Raw genomic sequence first — 22150 nt, forward strand, 5'->3', positions numbered from 1 at the left:
ACGGTGGCTCACACCTGTAATCCCAGCACTTTGGGAGGCTGAGGTGGGTGGATCACCTGAGGTCAGGAGTTCAAGACCAGCCTGGCCAACATGGTGAAACCCATCTCTACTAAAAAATACAAAAATTAGCCAGGCGTGGTGGTGCACGCCTGTAATCCCAGCTACTCAGGAGGCTGAGACACAAGAATTGCTTGAACCCAGGGGGCAGAGGTTGCAGTGAGCCAAGATCATGCCACTGCACTCCAGCCTGGGCAACAGAGCGAGACTCTGTCTCAAAAATAAAATAAAAATAAAAATTGACATCTGTCCTTCACATGTAAGTCTGAAATTCTCCCCAAACTGACTTTTTCTGTGCAGTGCAAAGTCCATGTGGTTATATGTGAATACCATTTACTAGTTAGGGATCAACAAACTATAGCCTACAGGCAAATGCAGGCCTTCATCTGTTTTTGTTTTGTTTGTAATAGACACTGGGTGTCACTATGTTGCCCAGTTCAAATAATCCTCCTGCCTCTGCCTCCCAAAGTGCTGGGATTATAGGTGTGAACCACCATGCCTGGTCTCCTTTGCCCGTTTTTGTACAGCCCAGTAGCTAATAATGGTTTCTGCATTTTAAATGGCTGAGAAAAACAAAAAGAAAGCTAATAACTCATGACCCATGAAAATTATATGAAATTTAAATCTCAATGCACATAAAGTTTTATTAGAACATATCCATGATCATTTGTTCACGTACAGTATTGTCTATAGCTGCTCTTACAATACCACAGCAGAGGTGACTAACTACAACAGACACTGTGAACACCACGTAAGGCTGTCTAGCCCTTACCAAAAAAGTTTGCCAATCCCTCAATAGTTCATCCTTTCCCCCCATGATCTGCAGTACTGTCTCTGTTGTAAATTAGAGTTTCATTTATTTGTGGGTCTGTTTTGGAAATTTGGCTCAATCCATTGGCCAATTTAACTATCTCTACACCAAAAATACACTATCTTGATCACAATAATAATTTATAATAAGCCTTAATAATAACACAAGTCTCCCTGCCTGATGTTCCTTCTTTGTTAATGAAATAGCTAACCCTGCCTCTTTACTTTTCCAAATACATTTCAGAATCTGGCTTCCAATTCCAGGAAAGACCTTGTTGGGATTTGGTTTGGAATCACATTGAATCCATAGGTGAGTTTTGAAAGAAACTGACATACTTATGCCATTGAGGCTTCCTATCCATTAATGATATATCTCTCTCCATTTATGAGGTCTTCTTTAATGTCCTTCAATATTTTCTCCATAGAGGTCTCACTCATTTGTTACCATAATCCTTGGTAAAACTCACCTACACGACCATCCAGGCACACCATTTCTTTGTAGAAAAAGTGTTAACTACTGATTTATCCTTTAATGAGCAAAGGACTGCTTAGATTTTTAAATATTTTCTTGGTTCAATTTTGATGACATTTTTCTTGGAATATATCAATTCCATCAAAATTTTCCAATTTTTTATAATTATTTATCAATATTTGTTTTTGCTGGTTTAATCTCTGCAGCATCTATAGTTGTGGTCTCTTTTTTACTCCTAAATCATTTGCTGTGCCTTCTCTCTTTTATATGCTTGTTTTTCTTCATTTATTTTTGCTCATATCTTTGTATTGTCTTCCCCTTTTTCTGTCTTCTTAAATTGGATAATTAACTCCTTAACTTGCACCTCTCCTTCCTTTCTTTCTTTTTCTCTTCTTCTTTTGCTTTCTTTCTCTTTTTCTTTTCTTTTCTCCAGGCTAGTATTGAATTCCTAGCCTCAAGCGATCCTCCCACCTCAGCCTTGCAAAGTGCTGGGATTACAGGCATAAGCCACCATGCCAAGTCACCTTTTCCTTTCTTAATGTAAGGATTTATGCTACAAAATTTTTTCTAAGCACCCCTTTAGCTGCATGGTCCAAATATTGGTATCTAGTATTTTTGTTATCATTCAGCTCTAAATATTATCTAACTCCCATTAGTTTTCTTTTTTTGACTCATAATGTATCTAGCAGTATATTCTAAAATTCCTGAAAGTATAGGGTTTTTCTGGTTATCTCTCGCTATTGATTCCTGAATTAATTGCTTTACGGTTAAAGAAGATTATTTCTACGTTACTAATCTAAAATTTGTTGGCTTGCTTTAAGACTCTCATAAATATTCCATGTGTGCAGTTGAAAAGAATCTGTATTTCACAATTATATTATATATGGTCATTAAGTAAGCTTGTTGGTAAATTTTCTATGTCTTTATAGACTTCTATGTTTCCTTCATTCATCAGTTCCTTAGAAAGGTGTATTTAGATCTCCCACTATGATGATGTTTGTCCTCTCCAAACTTCATGTTGAAACTTAATCCCAAATGTGGCAGTATTGAAAGATGGGTCTTTTGGCAGGGTGTGGCGGCTCATGCCTGTAATCCCAACACTTTGGGAGGCCGAGGCAGGCAGATCACCTGAGGTCAAGAGTTCAAGATTAGCCTGGCCAACTTGGTGAAACCCCATCTCTACTAAAAATAGAAAAATTAGCCAAGCATGGTGGCACACACCCATAATCCCAGCTACTCAGGAGGCTGAGGCAGGAGAATTGCTTGAACCCAGGAGGCAGAGGTTGCAGTAAGCCGAGATCCCACCACTACACTCCAGCCGGGGTGACAGAGTGAGACTCTATCTCAAAAAAAAAAGGAAGAAAGGAAAGGAAGGAGAGGAGAGGAGAGAAGAAAAGAGGAGAGGGGAGGGGAAAAGAAAAGAAAGAAAGAGAGAGCAAAAGAAAGAAAGAGAGAAAGAAAGGAAGAAACAAAGAAAGGAAAAGAAAGAAAGAAAGAAAGAGAAAGAAAGGAAGGAAGAAACAAAGAAAGGAAAAGAAAGAAAGAAAAAGAAAGAAAGGAGGAGGAAGGGAGGGAGGGAGGGGAAGGAAGAAAGAGAAAGAGAGAAAGAAAGATAGAAGAAAGACAGAGAGAGGAAGGAAGGAAGGAGGGAGGGAGAGAAGGAGGGAGGGGAAGGAAGGAAGGAAGAGAGAAAGAGAGAAAGAAAGGAAGAAACGAAAGAAAGAGAGAAAGAAAGGAAGAAAGAAAGAGAGGAAGGAAGGGAAGGAAGGAAGGAAAAGAGAGAAAGAACAGAGAAAGAGGAAGAAAGAAAGAGAGAAAGAGAGGGAGGGAGGAAGGAAGGAAAAGAGAAAGAAGAAAAAGAAGAAAAGAAAGACAGGAAGGAAAGAAAGAAAAGAAAAGGAAGGAAGGAAAGAAAGGAAGGAGGGAAAGAAAAAGAAGAAAGAAAAAGAAGAAAGAAAAAATAAAGAGCCTTTAATTGGTGATTGGATCATAAAGGCTCCACCGTCATGAATGGATTAACCCATTCATGGATTAATGAGTTAATGAATTAGTGGTTTATCACAGGAATGGGACTGGTGGTTTTATAAAAAGAGGAAGAGAGAACTGAGCTAACACACTCAGCCTCCTCACTATGGGATGCCCTGTGCTGCCTCCAGACTCTGTAGAGAGTCCCCACCAGCAAGAAGGCCCTCACCGGATGCACCCCCTTAACCTTGGACTTCTCAGCCTCCAGATCTATAAGAAGTCAAATCATCTCTCATTAATTACCCACTTTCAGGTATTCTGTTATAAACAGCAGATGATGAATTCCTCTTTGCAATCAGTCAAAAATTTCATTATTTTGAGACTTATTAAATGCAAGCAAGTTATATATTTCTAGTGAATTAAAACTTTTATCAGAATTTTTTTGTCCTCTGTCTAGTAATAACTTGCTTTAAAGCCTATATTTTCTTTTTCTTTTTTTTTTTTTTTTTTTTTTTTGAGACAGAGTCTCACTCTGTTGCCCAGGCTGGAGTGCAGTGGCGCGATCTCGGCTCATTTCCATTTCAGTCTTTGTGTGTGTGTGTGTGTGTGTGTGTGTGTGTGTGTGTGTGTGTGTGTGTGTGTGTGTGTGTGTGTGTGTGTGTATTTTTTTAGAGACAGTCTCGCTTTGTTGCCCAAGCTGTTCTCTAACTCCTAGACTCAAGGGGTCTTCCTGCCTCAGCCTCCCAACTAGCTGGGATTACAGGCAGACACCACTGTACCGATTTTATTTATATTTTATCTGTTTTTATATTTTGAATGTATCAGCTGTAAACTGTATTCCCTGGATTTGTTTTTTAATCCAGTGTAATGTTTGCCTTTTACTTTGCAAATTTAGTCCACTTAGGATTACTTATATATTTGGAATTAGTTCCTCCATTCTATTTTTTTATTTCTATACATGTCATCTGTTTTATGTAATTTTTTTCTCATTTATTGTGTGGTTTGGTTTTGGGTTTTTTTTGTTTTGCTTTGTTGTTGTTTTTAATTGAACCAGGTGTTTTTGTTTTGCCTTCTTGTGTTTGTTTTTCTCATTCCTTTTTCCCCCATAATTAGTTTGGAGGTTTACATTCCATGTGTCCCCCTCACCTTATACCATGTGAGAGAGCGAGCTTCCAAAGACCTACTGCTTGTTGACCTGTGTCCCTTAAGTTTGGGGAGCTCGAGAACTGGCATTAAGTGCTACATCTAAAAAGCCGGGGCAAAAAAAAAAAAAAAGGAAACTGTACTGAAAGAAAATGATTATTCTATCAACACTAGGACATGAATGGGCAGGTGTTTACCCTACACCAGAAGTGGACCCGGCAGGAAGGAGCTGGCATGGAGCCCTCTGTAAATCCTGCCCAGGCCTCCAAAAGACAGAATTGTCCCCAGACAACCTGGAGATGAAGGAAACATTCACAAGCAAGTAGGGAAGCATCGCCCTGTGGAAGGAAAGACCGTCGGCCCCAGGGGAGTACATCTGAGGAATACTCAGAAAAAAACCCTTCAGAAAAATGGTCACTTTGAACACCTGCCAAGCCCAGCAAGCAACAGCTGCAAGACCTCAAATGACCAGTCACACAACATGGTACCTTCTCCCAGCCTGACCCGTAAGGGCTCAGCAGCAGGGACGTCAACCATGAGCCCAGCCACATCCCTAATCCACTAAGCTCTCAGGCAACATTTGCACCATGTGACCCACCATCAGGCATAGGCGATAGGTCTAGTGGAGATCACCTGACCCAAAGGTAGCCAATGGGAAAGTTGAGTTATCTGGCGAACTGAGCCAATCAGATTCTCTCCTGGAGGTGCCACTGGGAGTGTGGACCCACAGACAGCGGGGAAAGAATCTGAGCCAATGTGGGAGGAGAGGAGCAGGCAGGAAGGTGGGTCAGAGACTTGGGGATCATGGCAAGCAGAAGCAGTGAGGAAGCAGGAGTGCCAAGGAGATGGAAGCAACAAGGCAAAGGAAAGACGTGTAGAGCAAAGGAAAATAAGGGAAATTTTAGTAAGATTGGCAAGCATCTATACTAAATTTCCTTATAGCCGAGGACTTTTTTTTTTTCAACTCAGCTGAACATCTACAGACTCCAGCTGCTGAGTCTCAGAGGCCATCCTAGATCTAGTTCCGGGCCAAGGGTCCTGGCTGTCTGCTGCTTTCTGTTCTTGTGTATTATGTCTTTCTGTCTCCCTTCCGCCCCGCATGTATCCTGACGACCAGAAACGCCCTCTACTTGAGATAACTGGAGCTGGACTCTGCCTCCTGCAATGCAAAGAACACAGCACGCAAAAAGAAAGTGAAAGACAATCCCTGACCAGGAAGACAGCCCGGCTGTTCCCTGAACAGACTTCACACCAGGCAGTTCTTGCTGCACTTCCCCCAATAAAATCCTCCCTCGTTTTGCTTTATTTTATTCTGTGAAAATAAGCCTTATTATAAATCACAATGAAATCCACAAACCAAACCCCAAACTCTCTAGCAAAACAAGACCCCCTTGATGTATAAAGTCATCGCTGACAGGACAGTCTTTTTCAGTTATTGCTTTTGTCGCTTGTTTCTTGAGAACATGACTCCAATAAGGCTCATGGCTGCCAAGCCCATTCCTGCAACGCTTGCAGCGATGATGACATCTCTGACCTGCAACAAAGAAGAGGGTGGGTCACACTCTGTGTCAGGATCCAGAGTACAGGCTGCACATTCAGCAGAAACATTCAGCTCGGGATACCTCACATGCCCCTTGGCCTCCCTGGCCAAACTAAGGAGTCAACAAACATTGGTAGGGAAGAGGGGAGGAGAGGGCTGGACGGGAAAAGAATTCGTGGCTGGAGCCAGCTGGCCTGAAATTTACATGGAACCAAAGATGGAAAACTGGATTCACCGTGTGGGTATTCAAAGCATATAAATCCTCAGAGCGTGGCTGTGGAAAGGACAGGGAGCTGATGCCAGGATGGTCAAGATCTTGGCTGGCCAATGGGGAGCTCTAGAAGCAAAGGTGGAGTCAGGGAGGAATTGTTATTGAGTAGTCAGTAACCTGTGACCTCCATAAGAGCAAGGAACTCGGCTGTCTTGTTCATCACTGTATCCCCAGTGCCTGGTCCTGCCAGGCATGGAGGATGGAGGTACTCTTCACATGTTCTTAAATAAATGACTCAATTATAAATAGTAGTGATGTTATGCTTAGAATTATTAGGATATCTGACTTGTTTGTAGTAGGAAAAAAAGTGTTTCAAAAGTAAAAGTAAATGTCCAGGTAAAAATTGAATATATGTCCAATTTTACTGCCTCCTGAAACTCAACTAAAAGTAAACTAAGGCATTTGTTTAAGGCATAATTCCACAAGAATACAGAAAGCACTAAATCCTAAGGCAGCAAAGGAAAAAGATGAGGATAAACCCTAATTATATAAAAGAATACTCCAAAAGGATCACATATTAAACCCAGGTACCTCTGGAAGTGGGAAAGAATGAGAGAGAGCTTTAGCTGGTCCCTGAACCTCCTCCCTGACCCCCAAAAGAAGTCTGAACGTTTATTCTTTGCAGAGGGTACAATAGAAGGCTTAGGGGCCTAGAAACCTAGAAGCACATGTGAGAATGTGGGTATCATACCACAAACAAGGGATTGAGAGATTGTAAACATGCTAAATGTGAGACTCCCAGACCTCCTACTCCTCTGTTCCCAGAACTTTACGCTCCACACAAGAGTCCAGAAGACTTTTCTGGGGAATCTGGCCCAAATGCAAACAACAAAAGATACCAATACTGGGAATTCCCAAACAGCCCACCCAGATCATCCTGCAGTGCAACTCAGAGTCAGCAAACCACTGCCCCTACACCCACCCCCACTCACTCAGAGCTCCATCCAGTAGCAAACCCCCACTTTTTTTTTGACAGACTGAAAACTGTTCAGCACAGTATGAAAGAGGTGAGATGCTCAGCTGGGTGTGGTGGCTTACGCCTGTAATCCCAGCACTTTGGGAGGCCGAGGCAGGTGGATCACTTGAGGCCAGGAGTTCCAGACAAACCCAGCCAACATGCGAAACCCCATCTCTAAAAATCACAAAAATTAGCCAGGCCTGGTGACACGTGCCTATAGTCCCAGGTACTCAGGAGGCTGAGGCAGAAAAAAATCACTTGAACCCGGGAAGTGGAATTTGCAGTGAGCAAAGACTGCGCCATTGGGCTCCGTCCTTGGCAACACAGCAAGAATGAGGTGAGGTACTGTTTATATAAATCATAATTAAGTGATCTCAACAATACAATGATTTTACAGTATACATTAGAGGCCAGTATATATAGAGGGTAAGAGAATAGTAACAAGGAAAACATAGGTAGAAAGAATTAGCATCTCTTTCCTAACCTATGAAGTTGAATAATAAATCTTGGTCAAAATAATTTCCTGATAGTAAGACAGTGAGTATATTAAGTGTATAAAACTGAAAAACCAAAGTGATAAAATAAGAAAGGTGCCTTTACACAAGTACCACTTGACAGAAGTGTTATTTGTAATTTCTCTTGGAAAAAAAGAAATGTTTAAAATGCTTTAAGGAATCTAAAATAAAAAGAACAAATACATATTTAGCTTAACAAATTTAAGAGGAGAAATTGTATTTAGATGTTGTAATTTAAAAACCTAGGGCAACAACATTTAACAAACAGACATTGTTTTTAGGATATAATTTGTTAACTATTTTAGTTTACACTAAGTAATGTGAGTTGGTTTTCTTTGAATTCAACTGAACATGATGGTTGGCAAGTGCACTTTTTTTTTTTTTTTAATCTTTGAGATGGAGTTTGCTCTTGTTGCCCAGGCTAGAGTGCAATGGCGCAATCTTAGCTCACTGCAATCTCCACCTTCCAGTTTCAAGTGGTTCTCTTGCCTCAGCCTCCCGAGTAGCTGGGATTACAGGCACCCGCCACCACGCCCAGCTAATTTTTGTATTTTTAGTACAGATGGGGTTTCACCATATTGGCCAGGCTGCTCTCGAACTCCTGACCACTTGATCCACCAGCCTCGGCCTCCCAAAGTGCTAGGATTACAGGCGTGAGCCGCCGCACCCAGCCAGGCAAGTGTACTTTTAATCATGAGCATACAACCAACACACCAAACATCTGAAGAAGTCCTCTAAAATTGAAGACAGAGACAAAAAAAAAATAGCAATCTGGAGAAACAGAAACTATATCTAGAAAAGAAAACATCCTTTTAACAACTATAGCTTCTCAGTCTTTTGGCTAAGATCAAGTATAAAAATTACCACTGGAGAATAAGACAGCATATTGCATCCAAAAGGAAACGTCCTTTTAAAAACTATCATTAGATCGCTTCTCGGCCTCTTGGCTAAGATCGAGTGTAAAAATTATCACTGGAGAATAAGACAGCATATTGTATCCAATAAATAAGAACGTGGTACTATAAAAAATAATGCAATATTGAGAAAATAAAAACGGTTCATAGAAAATAAAAATGTGAAAAAACAACTCAACAGAAAAGTTGAAAGATAAAGCTAAGTTAAGGAAATCTCTCAAAAAGAATAGCAAAAAAATAAAGAAATAGAAACCAAAGGGAAAAAAATAAAATAAAAAACAGAACAATCCGGCTGGGTGCAGTGGCTCAAGTCTGTAATCCCAGCACTTTGGGAGGCCAAGGCAGGCAGATTGCTTGAGCTCAGGAGTTCGAGACCAGCCTGGCAACATGGTGAAACCCCATCTCTACTAAAAATACAAAAAATTAGCCAGGCATGGTGGTGCGCGCCTGTAATCCCAGCCACTTGGGAGACTGAGGCTGAAGAATTCCTTGAACCTGGAAGGCAGAGGTTGCAGTGAGCTGAGATGGTGCCACTGCACTCCAGCCTGGACAACAGAGCAAGACTCAGTCTCAAAAGAAAAAAAAAAAAGAAAAGAAATAGTGCTCTGAGTCCCATCTTAATGGATAAAAGTAGACCTACACAAAGGCACATTACTATGAAATTTTATAGCATTGGGTAAAGATATTACAACATTTAGAGCAGGGAGAAAAACAGGAAATGGAGAAAAGATCAGGAATCAGGATGGCTTCAGATTTCTCAAAGCAATTCTGGAAGCAAGAAGACAATGGAGCAGTACTGGTACCAAAACAGAGATATAGACCAATGGAACAGAACAGAGCCCTCAGAAATAATGCCACATATCTACAACTATCTGATCTTTGACAAACCTGACAAAAACAAGAAATGGGGAAAGGATTCCCTATTTAATAAATGGTGCTGGGAAAACTGGCTAGCCATATGTAGAAAGCTGAAACTGGATCCCTTCCTTACACCTTATACAAAAATTAATTCAAGATGGATTAAAGACTTACATGTTAGACCTAAAACCATAAAAACCCTAGAAGAAAACCTAGGCAATACCATTCAGGACATAGGCATGGGCAAGGACTTCATGTCTAAAACACCAAAAGCAATGGCAACGAAAGCCAAAATTGACAAATGGGATCTAATTAAACTAAAGAGCTTCTGCACAGCAAAAGAAACTACCGTCAGAGTGAACAGGCAACCTACAGAATGGGAGAAAATTTTTCCAATCTACTCATCTGACAAAGGGCTAATATCCAGAATCTACAATGAACTCAAACACATTTACAAGAAAAAAAACAAACAACCCCATCAAAAAGTGGGCGAAGGATATGAACAGACACTTCTCAAAGGAGACATTTATGCAGCCAAAAGACACATGAAAAAATGCTCATCATCACTGGCCATCAGAGAAATGCAAATCAAAACCACAATGAGATACCATCTCATACCAGTTAGAATGGCGATCATTAAAAAGTCAGGAAACAACAAGTGCTGGAGAGGATATGGAGAAATAGGAACACTTTTACACTGTTGGTGGGACTGTAAACCAGTTCAACCATTGTGGAAGTCAGTGTGGCGATTCCTCAGGGATCTAGAACTAGAAATAACACTTGACCCAGCCATCCCATTACTGGGTATATACCCAAAGGATTATAAAACATGCTGCTATAAAGACACATGCACACGTATGTTTATTGCAGCACTATTCACAATAGCAAAGACTTGGAACCAACCCAAATGTCCAATAATGATAGACTGGATTAAGAAAATGTGGCACATATACACCATGGAATACTATGCAGCCATAAAAAATGATGAATTCATGTCCTTTGTAGGGACATGGATGAAGCTGGAAACCATTATTTTCAGCAAACTATCACAAGGACAAAAACCAAACATCGCATGTTCTCACTCATAGGTGGGAATTGAACAATGAGAACACATGGACACAGGAAGGGGAACATCACACACCAGGGCCTGTTGTGGGGTGGGGGGAGGGGGGAGGGATAGCATTAGGTGATACACCTAATGTTAAATGATGAGTTAATGGGTGCAGCACACCAACATGGCACATGTATACATATGTAACAAACCTGCACGTTGTACACATGTACCCTAAAACTTAAAGTATAATAAAAAAAAAAAAAAAAAAGAAGAAGACAATGGAGCAATGCCTCCAAAACTCTGAAGTGAAACCATTTCCAACCTAGAATTCTATACCCAGACAAAGTATCAAATCAAGTGAGAGGGTAAAATGACAAATAATTCAGACACACAGGGTCTCAAAGAATTTACCTCCCATGCATCCTCTTACAGAAAGCTGCTGAAAATGGTTCCCCAAAAACAGGGGAGTAAATGGAGAAAGTAGAAGACATGAGATAGAGAAAATGGGCCTTCTACTACTAGAGAGACTGGAAGGGAATCTCCCCAGAATGACAGTAAAGGGAGATTCCAGGATAACAACTTAGTACCAGGTGTAAAGAATAACTGGTAGGCAGAATGATAAGCCCCAAAAGGTGTCCATGTCCTAATTTCAGGAATCTATAAATATATCATGCTACATGGCAAGTGAGAATTAAGCTTACAAATGGAGTTAAGGCTGCTAATCAATTTACCTTAAAATACAGAAATTATCGGCCAGGTGTGGTGGCTCACGCCTGTAATCCCAGCACTTTGGGAGGCCGAGGAGGGTGGATCACGAGGTCAGGAGTTCGAGACCAGCCTGGCCAACATGGTGAAACCCCATCTCTACTAAAAATACAAAAATTAGCCAGGCGTGGTGGCACATGCCTCTAATCCCAGCTACTTGGGAGGCTGAGGCAGGAGAATCACTTGAACCCAGGAGGCAAAGTTTGCAGTGAGCTGAGATCACGCCACTGCACTCCAGCCTGGGCAACAGAGCAAGACTGTCTCAAAAAAACAAAAACAAAAAAAAGAGGAAATTATCCTAGATTATTCAGATGGGCCCAATGTAATTACAAAGTTCCTTAAAAGGTAGAAGACAGACAGAAGAGTTAGTGTCACAATGATGCAATATAAGACTCAACCAGCCATTGCTCTAGCTTTGAAAATAGATGGGGACTATAAGCCAAGGAATGCCAGTATGTTGTGGAAAGTCGGGGACCCCAAACGGAGGACCAGCTGAAGCCACAGCAGAAGAACATAAATTGTTAAGATTTCATGGACATTTATCAGTTCCCAAAATTAATACTTTCATAACTTCTTACACCTGTCTTTACTGCAATCTCTGAACACAAATTGTGAAGATGTCATGGACATTTATCACTTCCCCAATTAATACTCTTATAATTTCTTATGCCTGTCTTTAATCTCTTAATCACGTTATCTTCGTAAGCTGAGAATGTACGTCACCTCAGGACCACTATTGTACAAACTGATTGTAAAATATGTGTGTTTGAACAATACGAAATCAGTGCACCCTGAAAAAGAACAGAATAACAGCGATTTTCAGGGAACAAGGAAAGATAACCATAAGGTCTGACTGCCTGCGGGGTCGGGCAGAATAGAGCCATATTTTTCTTCTTGCAGAAAGCCTATAGACAGATGTGTGAGTAGGAGAAATATCGCTGAATTCTTTTCCGAGCAAGGAACAACCCTGGGGAAGGAATGCATTCCTGGGGGTAGGTCTATAGACGGCCGCTCTGGGAGTGTCTGTCTGATGCAGTTGAGATAAGGACTGAAATATGCCCTGTCTCCTGCAGTACCCTCAGGCTTACTAGGATTGGGAAATTCCAGCCTGGTAAATTCTAGTCAGACTGGTTGTCTGCTCTCAAACCCTGTTTCCTGTTAAGATGTTTATCAAGACAATGCGTGCACAGCAGGACACAGACCCTCATCAGTAATTCTAATTTTGCTTTCACCTTGTGATCTTTATAGCCCTTTGAAGCATGTGATCCTTGTGACCTACTCCCTGTTTGTACGCCCTCTCCCCTTTTAAAATCCGTAATAAAAACTTGCTGATTTTGTGGCTGGGGGTTGTCATCACGGTCCTACCAATATGTGATGGCACCCCTGGAGGCCCAGCTGTAAAATTTCTCTCTTTGTACTCTTTCTCTTTATTTCTCAGCCTGGCCAACACTTACGGAAAATAGAAAAGAACCTATGTTGAAATATTAGGGACTGGTTCCCCCAATACCAGTAACCTCTAGAAGTTGGAAAAGGCAAGAAAATTGATTTTCTCCTACAGACACTAGAAAAGAATGTCAATGCTTTGATTTTAGCCCAGTGAAACTCATTTTAGACTTCTGGCCCACAGAACTGTTGATAATAAATTGTGGAGTCTTAAGCCACTAACTTTGTACTAATTTGTTACAGCAGCAATAGGAAAATAATGCACTTATCAATCCAGATTGGAGCATTGTGACTCCAGAGCCTAGCATGTTGAGGACTGCCATAACCACTATCCTCTCCCATTGTACTGTGTTTCTAACCTAAAGCAACTTCTGGAGGATGTGATCTACCTAAATAAGAGAAAGAGCAAAGAAACAGAAAACTAAGAGATCATAGAATCAGAGAATGCAATCCAAGAGAAGGAAAGGAAATCCAAAGGATGACAGCCAAGGGGAGTCCAGGATGACAGCCATGCAATTGGCCAAGGAGCAACCAGCACAGAGGGAAGAAGGGCCATCTCTGGGATAGACGTGTCCAAGCAAAATAAACAAGAACTTGTAGGTTACTTGACATGGTTTCCCTTGTGGAGAACTGTACTGAGAGCTAATTGGATCATGTGGGAAGAATTGACAACAGGTACAAAGAAAACTCGGCAATGAAAGGAAGTAATAATTATCATAAAGAAAAAAGAACTCCCTCCACTTCCCTCCCAAAACAGAAAGGAAACTATCACAATTCACCACGACACTCAGCTGTGAGTTTTCTCATCATGAGTTCTGGCTGCTGAGAAATCAGTTCTGGGCACCTTGTGTTAATTACACTGCTGTGTTTCCTGAGGTTAAACACAACTATGTGTTTCCTGACATTAAACACATTTATGGCCCAGATAAGCCTCAGTAGCATCAAGATACGTATATATTTTTAACCACTGAAGATCCCCAAACTCTTCTCAACATTGGTCACATAGAAGTTTTAACAGATAGCCAGGCACAGTAGCTCATGCTTATAATCCCAGCACTTTGGGAGGCCGAGGCAGGCGGATGATGAGGTCAGGAGTTCGAGACCAGCCTGACCAACATGGTGAAACCTCATCTCTACTAAACATACAAAAATTAGCCAGGCATGGTGGCACGCACCTGTAATCCCAGCTACTCAGAAGGCTGAGGCAGGAGAATCACTTGAACCGGGAGGCGGAGGTTGCAGTGAGCCGAGATCACACCTCTGCACTCCAGCCTGGGTGACAGAGTGAGACACCATCTCAAAAAAAAAAAGTAGTTTTAACAGACAGAATTCATGATGACCAAAGTTTGGATGGAGCTACCAACCTGAGGTTTGACTGCTGCTAAGTCTTTAAATGCTCCTCTAAAAGATAATTAGGCATGGTTTTGTGGCAGCCATGGTTCTGTTGGGTTAACTTGCTAGGGAACCTGCATAAAATCACTTGTATCCAGCATTTTCCTTGCTAAGCTCTGTGTCAGGGTAGGAGAAATAGTCTGCAGATAATGGAGGAGGAACAATATGTCCCTAGTTCTTTATAGAACCTCATGGTGTGAAAACAAAAGCTGATGCAACTGGTTCATACAAAAGATACTTTGTCAAGGAAAACAACAATAACCTCATTGTTTGTGGCCATGCTTTGTACATAGTCAAAGAGTATGATTAAACACAAGACTGTTGGAAGCTAGTTAGTCCTAATAGTGCAAACTTGATGGGAAAAACTCTCTCTCCAAGAGTCAGTGCTACCTTCAGATGCCATTGATCATTTTCATGTTGCAAGACTGAAAGGTCCAATCCAGCTGCTGTGTTGTTATTACAGGATTTCTGATCATGAAAATGGGCTACCTGGTGTGTGTCACAGGTCTTAAATCAGGATATCAGGATATTGTGAAAGAGAAAAGCTGTCTCTCATTAGAAATATTAAGAAGACTGTTTTTTTTTTAAGTGGGCAAACAAATTCTGCCAGACTACAGACATTTAGACATTTATACTACAAAGCTCTTCTGAGTTAAGCCTTGATTTAGGGAAATCTAAATCATTTCTGGAAAAAAGAAAGTGCTAATGTGCTGCCTTCACTTTCAACAATGTTATAGGTGGATTAAAGAAGAAGTGGAGATAGTAGTGTTATTCTGAAAGCAATCCAATTGAGACTGTTAGAGGTTACAATATAAGAATGGTTATGAAATAGTTGTATATTTTCCAACAGTGATCAAGTATACAAAAAATAATAAATCATTTAAAAAGAAATAAAATATTTGCATAAAAATTTGGTTTCATTTACAGTAATTTCAAAATAATACCCCACAATTTATCCAGATTTATGTAATATATGTATTGCCGCCAGACACATCTTCAATTTCTATTTACCTTAATATTTTCTCTCACTCAGACTAGACTTCATTGTGAGTATAGCTTCTGGTTGCTTTTTTTTTTTTTTTAAGTACTGTTCAGTATGAAAGTTTCTTTACAAAACCCTACTAAAATATATGTTTTTTGAAACCTAAATATTTTTAGGTAGGTGGAAAGTAGGAGAATCTTTTTTTTAGAATATTCTTAGGCATGTAAAGCACAAATTACGTTTTAGTTTAAATTCATTGTTTCCCTTCTCAGGAAATTTGATTAATCATAAACTTTTTTTTTTGTTTTTTTTTGTTTTTTTTTTTTTGAGACAGAGTCTTGCTCAGTCGCCCAGGCTGGAGTACAGTGGTGCAATCTCGGCTCACTGCAAGCTCCGCCTCCTGGGTTCACGCCATTCTCCTGCCTCAGCCTCCCAAGTAGCTGCGACTACAGGCCACCACGCCCAGCTAATTTTGTTTTGTATTTATAGTAGAGACGGGGTTTCACCAGGTTAGCCAGGATGGTCTTGATCTCCTGACCTCGTGATCCACCTGCCTTGGCCTCCCAAAGTGCTGGGATTACAGGCGTGAGCCACCGCACCTGGCCATAAATATTCTTTTGAAGGAAAATCTAGTCTGCTTCAAAGAGCTCAGCACAAATATAATGACTGGTCAGATTCTTTAAAACACACAAAAATATCCTCATGAGTTAAATGAAAAGGAGAGTCACTGCACTGACAGTGCTTACAAAGAAAAATACTGGTGGACATTTTCTGATATGTACTAAATCTATCATCTCTAGCAAGATGGGGCATGCATCGAAGTTCTTTTTTTTTTTTTTTGAGATGGAGTTTTGCTCTTGTTGCCCAGCCTGGAGTGCAATGGCGCAATCTTGGCTCACTGCAACCTCCACCTCCCGGGTTCAAGCAATTCTGCCTCAGCCTCCCGAGTAGCCGGGACTACCGGTGCACACCACCACGCCCAGCTAATTTTTGTATTTTTAGTAGAAACGGGGTTTCACCATGTTGGCCAGTATGGTCTCGATCTCTTGACCTCATGATCTGCCCGCCTCGGCCTCTCAAAGTGCTGGGATTACAGGCATGAGCCACTGCGCCCGGCCAGAAGTTCTATGTTAATTTGACTCACAGCATGTGTCAGTGATCATTACTCACCTAAGTCACTAGTTCTCAACTGGAGACAGTTTTTCCCTGTGGGGGGAATTGTCTACAGACGTTTTTGGTTCTTACATCTGGCGGTGGGATGCTACTGGTATCTAGTGTGTAGAGGCCAGGGATGCTGCTAAGCATCCTACAGTGCACAGGACAGGACTTGACAATGAAGAATTATCTGGCCCATAATGTCAATAGTGCTGAGGCTGAGAAACCCCTATCCTAGACCAAGAAATGAAAGAGGAAATCTTTAGAAGCAGTAGAGATGGCACCTCTGTTTTTGTTGTAGAATATTCTGGCTTCATTTTCTGTGATGGGATCAAGTAGAATTGTTCATGCTGTTTCACTGTTGTGTTATCATTGTTTTGCCTCTTTCAAGTGAATGGGTAGATGGGTAGGGCCAAAGTCCCAGGAAGAAAAGTGTGATGTGTTCAATTTGCATTGTTTCATTTTGCAAGTGTTAAATTATTGTTTACAAAAAGAATAATGGTATAAGACATTTCTTAGTTATTTTACTATCTCAAGATTTGGAATTTTATTTAATTACTCCAAATAGCATTTATGGCCAGGCGCAGTGGCTCACATCTATAATTCCAGCACTTTGGGAGACTGAGGCAGGAGGGTTGCTAGAGACCAAGAGTTTAAGACCAGCCCAGACAACAAAGTGAGACCCTGTCTCTACAAAAAATACAAAAATCAGCCAGGCATGGTGATGTGCACCCATAGTCTCAGCTACTTGGGTGTGTGTGTGTGTGTGTGTGCACGTGTATGTGTGTGTTTGAGAAGGAGTCTCGCTCTGTTGCCCAGGCTGGAGTACACTGGCGCAATCTTGGCTCACTGCAACCTCCACCTCCAGGGTTCAAGCGATTCTCCTGCCTCAGCCTCCTGAGTAGTTGGGACTGCAGGTGCCCGCCATCACACCCAGCTAATTTTTGTATTTTTAGTAGAGACGGGGTTTCACCATGTTGGCCAGGGTGGTCTCAAACTCCTCACCTTAGGTGATCCACCCACCCCAGCCTCCCAAAGTGCTGGGATTACAGGCGTGAGCCACCACGCCCGGCCAGCCCCGTTCTTTATTCTGTTAATAACTGCTGAAAGAATAACTAAATGAGATGATTAGGATATATTTTGTAAACCTACCAAATATTCTTAACGTAGAACTCTGAATTTCAAAAAGTATCTTATTGCTTCCCAAGGTTGTCTTGTACTCTGTATTTGGAGTTTATTGCTGCATAGGAGCATGAGTTTTACCAAGAGTAAGTAAACACCTTGATAGTGATGCAAGATCACCAATGATGAAACTCAATTTGTTATCATGTTTGTCTTTCTTATGCTAATATTGTCACTGCTAATTCAAAAAAAAAAAACTTCTATTATACCTAAATCTGTCAATAAATGTTCATTTTCAAATTTAAAAAGATACATAAATGGGCCAGGCACAGTGGCTCACGCCTGTAATCTTAGCACTTTGGGAGGCAGAAACAGGCAGATCACTTGCAGTCAGGAGTTCCAGACCAGCCTGGCCGATATGGGGAAACCACATCTCTAATAAAAATACAAAAATTACCCAGGTGTGGTGGCACATGCCTTTATTCCCAGCCACTCTGGAGGCTGAGGCAGAAGAATCACTTGAACCCAGGAGGCAGAGGTTACAGCGAGCCAACATCGCACCACTGTGCTCTAGCCTGGGTGACGAAACAAGACTCTGTCTTAATAAATAAAAAGATACATAAATAAAAAACAAGAGAGAGAAGATAAGAAAATCAGCAAAGCAGTCTAGGGATCCAATAGCCTAATAATAGGAGTGCCAGAGAATACAAACTGGAAAATTTCCAAGAACTAAAGAAAGTGAGTTTCCAAGTACCTGGCACAATACATGAAAATAGACCCGTGCAAGGTAATAAATTTCAGAACACTGAGGATGAAGAGAAGATTCTATACAGTTCTGAAAAGAAAAAATAGATCACATACAAACAATAAAAAATCAGAACAGCTTCAGACTTCTCTACCACAATAACAAAAGCTAGATGACAATAAACCAATGCCTTCAAAATTCTGAAAAAAAAAATATTATTTCTAACCTAGAATTCTATACCCAGCCAAATGATTAATCAAATGTGAGGATAAAATAAAGATATTTTCAGGCATGCAAGATCTTTTTTTGTTTGTTTTTTGTTTCTTGGGTCTTTTTTTTTTTTTTTCTGACCAAGTCTCACTCTGTCACCCAGGCTGGAGTACAGTGGCGTGATCTCGGCTCACTGCAACCTCTGCCTCCTGGGTCCAAGCAATTCTCGTGCCTCAGCCTCACCAGTAGCTGGGATTACAGGCGCATGTCACCATGCCTGCCTAGGGATCTTTTTAAAATGTACCATTTCTCAGTAAACTATTAGGGGAAGTAGTCTACCAAAACAAGGGCATAAACCAAAAAAGAGAAGGATGTGAACTACAGAGGATAAAAGCATTAATATAGCAGGGAACTGAAAGAAATTTCTAGGATGCTAGTAAAGAGAGATACCAAGATGACAGCAATGCCTCATCAAGTGTGACAAGAGACAAATGTGGCCGGGCACAGTGGCTTATGCCTGTAATCCTAGCACTTTGGGAGGCTGAGGCGTTAGGATCATTTGAGCTCAGGAGTTCAAGACCAGCCTTGGCAACAGAGTGAGACCTCATCTCTATTAAAATAAAAAACAATAAAATAAAAAAAATTTTTTTTGAGACTGGGTCTTGCTCTGTCACCTAGGCTGGAGTGCAGTGGTGTGATCTCGGCTCACTGCAACCTCTGCCTCCCGGATTCAAGTGATTCTCTTGCCTCAGCCTCCTGAGTAGCTGAGATTACAGATGCCCAGCACCATGCCCGGCTAATTTTTGTATTTTTAGTAGAGATGGGGTTTCACCATGTTGGCCAGGCTGGTCTCAAACTCCTGACCGCAAGTGGTCTGCCCGCCTTAGTCTCCCAAAGTGCTGGGATTACAGGTGCGAGCCACTGTGCCCGGCCTAAAATAAAATTGTTTTAAGAAAAGAAAAACAAGACACAAATGTTTTGAAGGCTGTTATCCCCAAGAGATAGATGTAGTAAGTGCCACCATCCCCTGGTCTCCTGCTTTCTTTCACTGCATCACCTTTTTAACCTGACAATATTCAGGCACTAATGAAGTTCTTCTCATGGCCCTGCCCACTGATTCCCCAGAAGAAAGCTCTTATCAACTCTCAGGGAAGTTGAAGCCAGACCATGACCAACAGACTGCAATCTTCACAAACATTGGCAATATTGCCCTTTCTTTACCTAGTTAGCTATGTACCACCTACTCAATTTCTAAGTTGATCACCTTTAACATTCATATATAAATAGTTGTTGAACATGAATAACCCAACTGATCGAAGAAAAAAATAAGAGGATACCCATTCAAAGGTAACTAATATCCCACTGTAGACAGGTATAGGAACCGCCTAACAAACATGAGGGTTGGTGTAGTAAGCACAGCTGGTTATCAGCAGTATGAAGAGAGTAAGAGTGATTCCTATAGGTGGTGTTAGTCAGTGTCTTCCCATTCAAGTGGCTGTGGCCCACAGAGGCCAGGGGACCAGGCAATGGATGAGCCAAGCAAAAAAAAAAAAAAAAAAAAAGAGGAGGATAATTTAAAAAAAAAAAATGAGGATAATCATGACTATTTTTACTACTACAATGTATTCAGTGTGCTAAGAATAAACATGCTCTTATTTAATTCACAAGGTAATCCTCCAAGATGAGTATTATCATTCGTACTTTACCAAAGTGTAGGGAGCTGGACTAACTCTCCTGAGGTCAGACAGCCGGCAAAAGGCAGAGACCAGGTCCAGCCCACGTTGGCCTGACTCCAGGAGCCCAGGCTCTTAACCACCACACTGACCAGGGAAGAAGAAATTGGATCTCAAAAAAAATAATAATAAAAGTGAACAGCCTGATGGATCTTAAGCTAATCATTCACTGAAAAAAATATGTATTCTTTTGCATCAACAGCCATGTAAGAACCTTCCCAATGTTCTTTTCACCTATGCAAAGAAAAAAAAAAAAAAAAAGATGGAAGTGGCTGAAAGGGAGGGGGAAGAAGTGCAAGGAAATGAGAAGAGAAAAAGAGATTGAAAGGAGAGGAAAGACAAAAATAAAATCAAGTAAATGAACAAAACTGCATCCCCTAGGGTCTCCCAGATTCACCCTTAGGGTTCAGCCAGGCTGAAGACAGTGCTGTTTATAAGCACGATCAGGCTATGCCACACAGACCTGGGCTTCAAATCCCAACTCTGCTAATTATCTGCACAGGAAAAGACAGGTACCAGGTCTGGAGACTCAACAAAGATTTTTTTGATGAAATGAATGGCTGTAGACAAGTTACTTAAGCTCAGTTTCCCAATCTGTAAGGTAGTGGGTCCTAAAACCTGCCTTTAGGGCTGGGGAGGGCCATCTCAGGGACAGGTGGCCAGGGAGGGCTTGGCAATGGGAATGATCATCATGTCTGTGACTCCTTTCCTTGGCCACCCACCCCCGCCCCCGACTACACTGATCTGCATTGCCAACTTGCCTCTCTCCCCACCCTTGTCCCCACCCTTGTCCCAACTGTGACATCCTCAAGGGCAGTAATTCTGTCTCTGCTATTTTGTCTTGTTCATGCCTCCATAGCCATGCCCAGCCTCCGTCAGCAGAGGGAATGGTCTGGTTCCTGGGGAAGGCGACACAGGCAGAGGACGCACCTGGTCACTGCGGGCGACTCCATAGCGCAGCTCATTCACAAAGTGCTCGCAGTTCTCACTGGTCAGCTTGTAGAGCACCTCCTGCCCCACCAGCTCCTCCGCCCGCTGGATGATTTTGCTGCAGGGCAGCGGCGAGTACTTGTCATCATGTTTGTTGTTGACCTGGTACTTGTCACTCCCGGCCACATCATACAGCAATTCCTTCTTCACGATGGCCTTGTCAGTCAGGGCGGACATGACACTGGCTGCACCAGCTCCTGCGACCTCACCTGCAGATCCACAAAGAGGAAACAGAGGGATTGGTCCTGGGAAGGGCCACGGAGGCTCAGAGCTGGCCCCCAGCCGGGCATCTGCCCTTGGCTCATCCACAAAGGATAAGCAACAAGTGGAAGGGTCAGACGCATGGCTGTGGGCCTTGGGGAAGGTGTGTGTGGTCTCTGGGCCCTGGTTTCCTTATCTAAAATGAAAGGGAGTGAAGTTCCATGATTTACTGTGATTTTTTTCTTACTCTAGAGAAGGTGGTCTTCTATACCTCATGACACTTAAGTGGCCCCCTTGGTTATGCAAATATGAGCCAAGAGCATACTCATCCACCTGGGAAGATAAGGTGGGAGACTTTTATGATGGCATCAGGGCTACACCTACTTGACCACACAAAGCTGCTTACTGCAGAAAACATGGCTGGGTTTTCCAGAGTCCCAGCCCTTCTGGAAACAGACCCACCAAAACGCACAGCTGTCCCCCTAGCTGTGATGGATGCTAAGGAGGCTTAGTGGGTACATGGGCACAGCCCAGGCCAAGGCCCAGGGCAAGGAAGGGCCACAAAGCTCCAGAAATGAAATGATCTTGAAGACAAGGAGTCCAGGTTCAACATGAAGACCAGGATGGTGGACAGGGAAAGCTGATGCCAACACAGACTGGGCATTCCTCCCAACTCAAACAACCTGTGTGGCGCAGGGAGAGGCAGGCACTGAGTATGATGATTGAAAAAGTGGGGATGGGCTGGGCACAGTGGCTCATACCTGTAATCCCAGCACTTTGGGAGGCCAAGGCAGGCAGATCGCTTAAGCCCAGGAGTTTCAGACAAGCCTGGGCAACATGGCAAAACTCCGTCTC

General features: G+C 42.0%; 1 protein-coding gene and 1 long non-coding RNA gene across 4 annotated transcripts in view; one reads left to right on the forward strand and one right to left on the reverse strand.

Moving 5' to 3' along the window:
* Nucleotides 1-5396: 5396 nt before the first annotated feature.
* Nucleotides 5397-22150, reverse strand: part of PLAAT3 (phospholipase A and acyltransferase 3) — a 42466-nt gene continuing 25712 nt past the window's right edge. For all 3 annotated transcript variants that reach the window (XM_011544741.2, NM_007069.3, NM_001128203.2), the window contains 2 exon segments: nucleotides 21035-21303; nucleotides 5397-5981 (listed from right to left, as the gene is read on the reverse strand). In XM_011544741.2, the coding sequence (XP_011543043.1) occupies nucleotides 5880-5981; nucleotides 21035-21303 (371 nt within the window). In that variant the 3' untranslated portion in view covers nucleotides 5397-5879.
* Nucleotides 6153-21025, forward strand: LOC105369335 (uncharacterized). Its single transcript, XR_950179.3, has 3 exons — nucleotides 6153-6225; nucleotides 17503-17562; nucleotides 20964-21025. It is a non-coding gene; the product is annotated as an uncharacterized LOC105369335 (long non-coding RNA).

Source organism: Homo sapiens, chromosome 11 (assembly GCF_000001405.40).
Source record: "Homo sapiens chromosome 11, GRCh38.p14 Primary Assembly".
NCBI classification, from domain to species: domain Eukaryota; kingdom Metazoa; phylum Chordata; class Mammalia; order Primates; family Hominidae; genus Homo; species Homo sapiens.